This window comes from Homo sapiens, chromosome 9 (genome assembly GCF_000001405.40).
Source record: "Homo sapiens chromosome 9, GRCh38.p14 Primary Assembly".
Classification (NCBI taxonomy): Eukaryota; Metazoa; Chordata; class Mammalia; order Primates; family Hominidae; genus Homo; species Homo sapiens.
In genome coordinates this window covers 71,989,361-71,991,577 of record NC_000009.12, presented here as the reverse complement: position 1 = coordinate 71,991,577, position 2,217 = coordinate 71,989,361, and the positions used below count along the sequence as shown (strand labels likewise).

The 2,217-nt window shown below is 45.7% G+C and overlaps 1 annotated feature.

Annotated features, from left to right (window-relative positions):
- Positions 468-1,667: an enhancer, noted in NCBI's record as "CDK7 strongly-dependent group 2 enhancer chr9:74604827-74606026 (GRCh37/hg19 assembly coordinates)". NCBI's record gives its function as "activates an origin of replication core promoter dependent on BRD2, BRD4, P300/CBP, MED14 and CDK7 cofactors, with strong dependence on CDK7, by STARR-seq in HCT116 cells {active_cell/tissue: HCT116}" and the evidence as "EXISTENCE:reporter gene assay evidence [ECO:0000049][PMID:35650434]".

Here is a 2,217-nt window from a genome sequence, read left to right as displayed (position 1 = left end):
AAGGATCAAAGCACTGCATCTTTTAAGTGTTCAATGGTGGCACCAACCTCTGCAACTCCCCTAAGGATGGGGAATTGCTTTCAGCTTACCATCATGAAGGAGGGTGGTGGTGCGGTTCCAGGGTCTTCACTTGGCCCTTTCTACCATAGTAACTCTCGCTCCATAAATAGGTAACAAATATGGGCATCTGCCTGTTACTAAGTATATGTAGCCCCACTGTATATTTTAAGGCTGGGAAATAACCACAATGTGGATCCAAGGTCCTACTGGACCAACCGTAAGATGAACCTGGGCCCAGACTCCACCAGTTATCTGAATGGTGGACCCCACTGGCATTTTTCAGGTCTCCTAGGATAAATGTCAGTTCAGAGTAAGTATCTAGTAACTCCTGAGAGGGTGTGTTATTTCTCTTTGCTCTATGTATAGTTTCTTAAGTAAATGGCAGTAAGTTCTTCCAGGGAAGAGGAGATGGATCATTCATGATAAACAGCTATGCCTCTACTATAGCATCCGTCCTCAAAGGATCCACCCTTTCCCTCTGTTGAGGGGCTTTGGCTAAGATCTGGGACCTAAGAGGCCAAGATTTCCCATTATGTAGATTTGAGGTTTTCCCAGTATAGCCCCAATTTTTTCACCTGTATATATCAAGAAGAACTTCAGTAGTGACCACAGATTTCATTTCAAGAGATCCTATAATCATTTAGTTATTGCCACAGATGCCTGTGGGCCAAAAATCTCTAATTACCTCTGTCTCTGTGGCTTACTGTAGCTGGTGTACTCAACTGTCTTTGACAGTTAAATGCTGCCATTTGGCCTCAGGCCTCTGGGATCCCATAGTCCCATGAGATCAGAAAACCCAGTCCTTTTGCAATTTCCCCCAAGGTTATCTCTGGCCTCTCAAGGAGAGTCATCACCTTTTCAAGCAGGCTGGTATCTTCCCACTGATGCACTTCCTGCGGCTTTGGTGACAAGCAGATGAGAGGGTGGCTGAGTAGTTGTTTGTAATAGAGAAGCACTGCTCTTTGGTATGCCAGGGAAGTTCCAACATTTTGACCTAATTAACTATAGGCCATAAGCAGGTCATGAAACTGACTCAAACAAGATTGTGCATCAGAATCCCCTGGAAAGCTTGTGAAAACACAGATTCCTGCCCCCTACCCCATAACTCTGATTCGGGAGGTCTTGGGTGGGGTCTGAGAATTTGCATTTCTGAGTTCCCAGATGATGCCAACCCTGTTGTTTGGGAACACAGTGTGGAAGCCACTGTTCGATATTTCAACCTCATTATATCAGAGGCCTAGAGAAGTTTTTCTCAACCTTTAATATGCACACAAATCACCTGCGAGGCTTGTAAAATACAGAGTTTTGCTTCAGTAGGTCTGGGGTGGATTCTGAGATTCTAGGATTCCATTCAGCTCCCAGGTGATGCCACTGCTGCCGATCCACAGACCACACTGAGTTTCAAGGCTCCAGGCCATGAGTTCAAGCTCAATTAACCAAGGCCATGAGTTCAAGCTCAATTAGCAGATCATTAATGTCACTCTTGGGTGGCCCATGCAATACATTAAATCCCAACCCATCTCTGTGAGTGTGGCTCAATAAAGCCATGTATTTTTTCTCCTTGGTCTAAGATCCTTAGGATTCACTACCCCTTAAGGGCTCCCTAGGCTCCTGACAATACAGTTTCGTACAATCCCGATCTAAACTTCTTTCTGTGTACAGGCTATCACTACTCACTTCAGGACTAGCAATTCCTTTCAGTAAAGGCCTAGTAGTAATGAGGGGCAGGTGTTGGGTGGAGGGAGGTCCTGAGGGGCACTGGCCTCAGCTTGTGTGACAACTGCCCCAGGTGCAGGTATTGAAAAATTTTTATGTAGGTAAGAACTGCTTCTCTCAAATAGTGGAGGCAGAGCTCCCTCGCATAGCTAGGGAAGTCCAAGGGAGTCTGGAGTTTCAAAATTCTGCTTTACCCACATTGATCCAGCCCCTGTTTTAAGCTCCACTCCTCTACCAGTGCCCTCACCTTGGCAGAAAAGGCCTAGTGAAGTTGGTGTGCAACCCAATTAAATGTTGTTATAATGCTCAGCATTAGGAACTGGACGTGGCCCACGGTGTCATCTGCTCTGTGAGTATAGGAGACACTTCATCCTTCAAAAGCTGCCACTTCATCCTTCAAAAGCTGCCACCCAGGCTTTCTGATTATCCACTTACAATCTC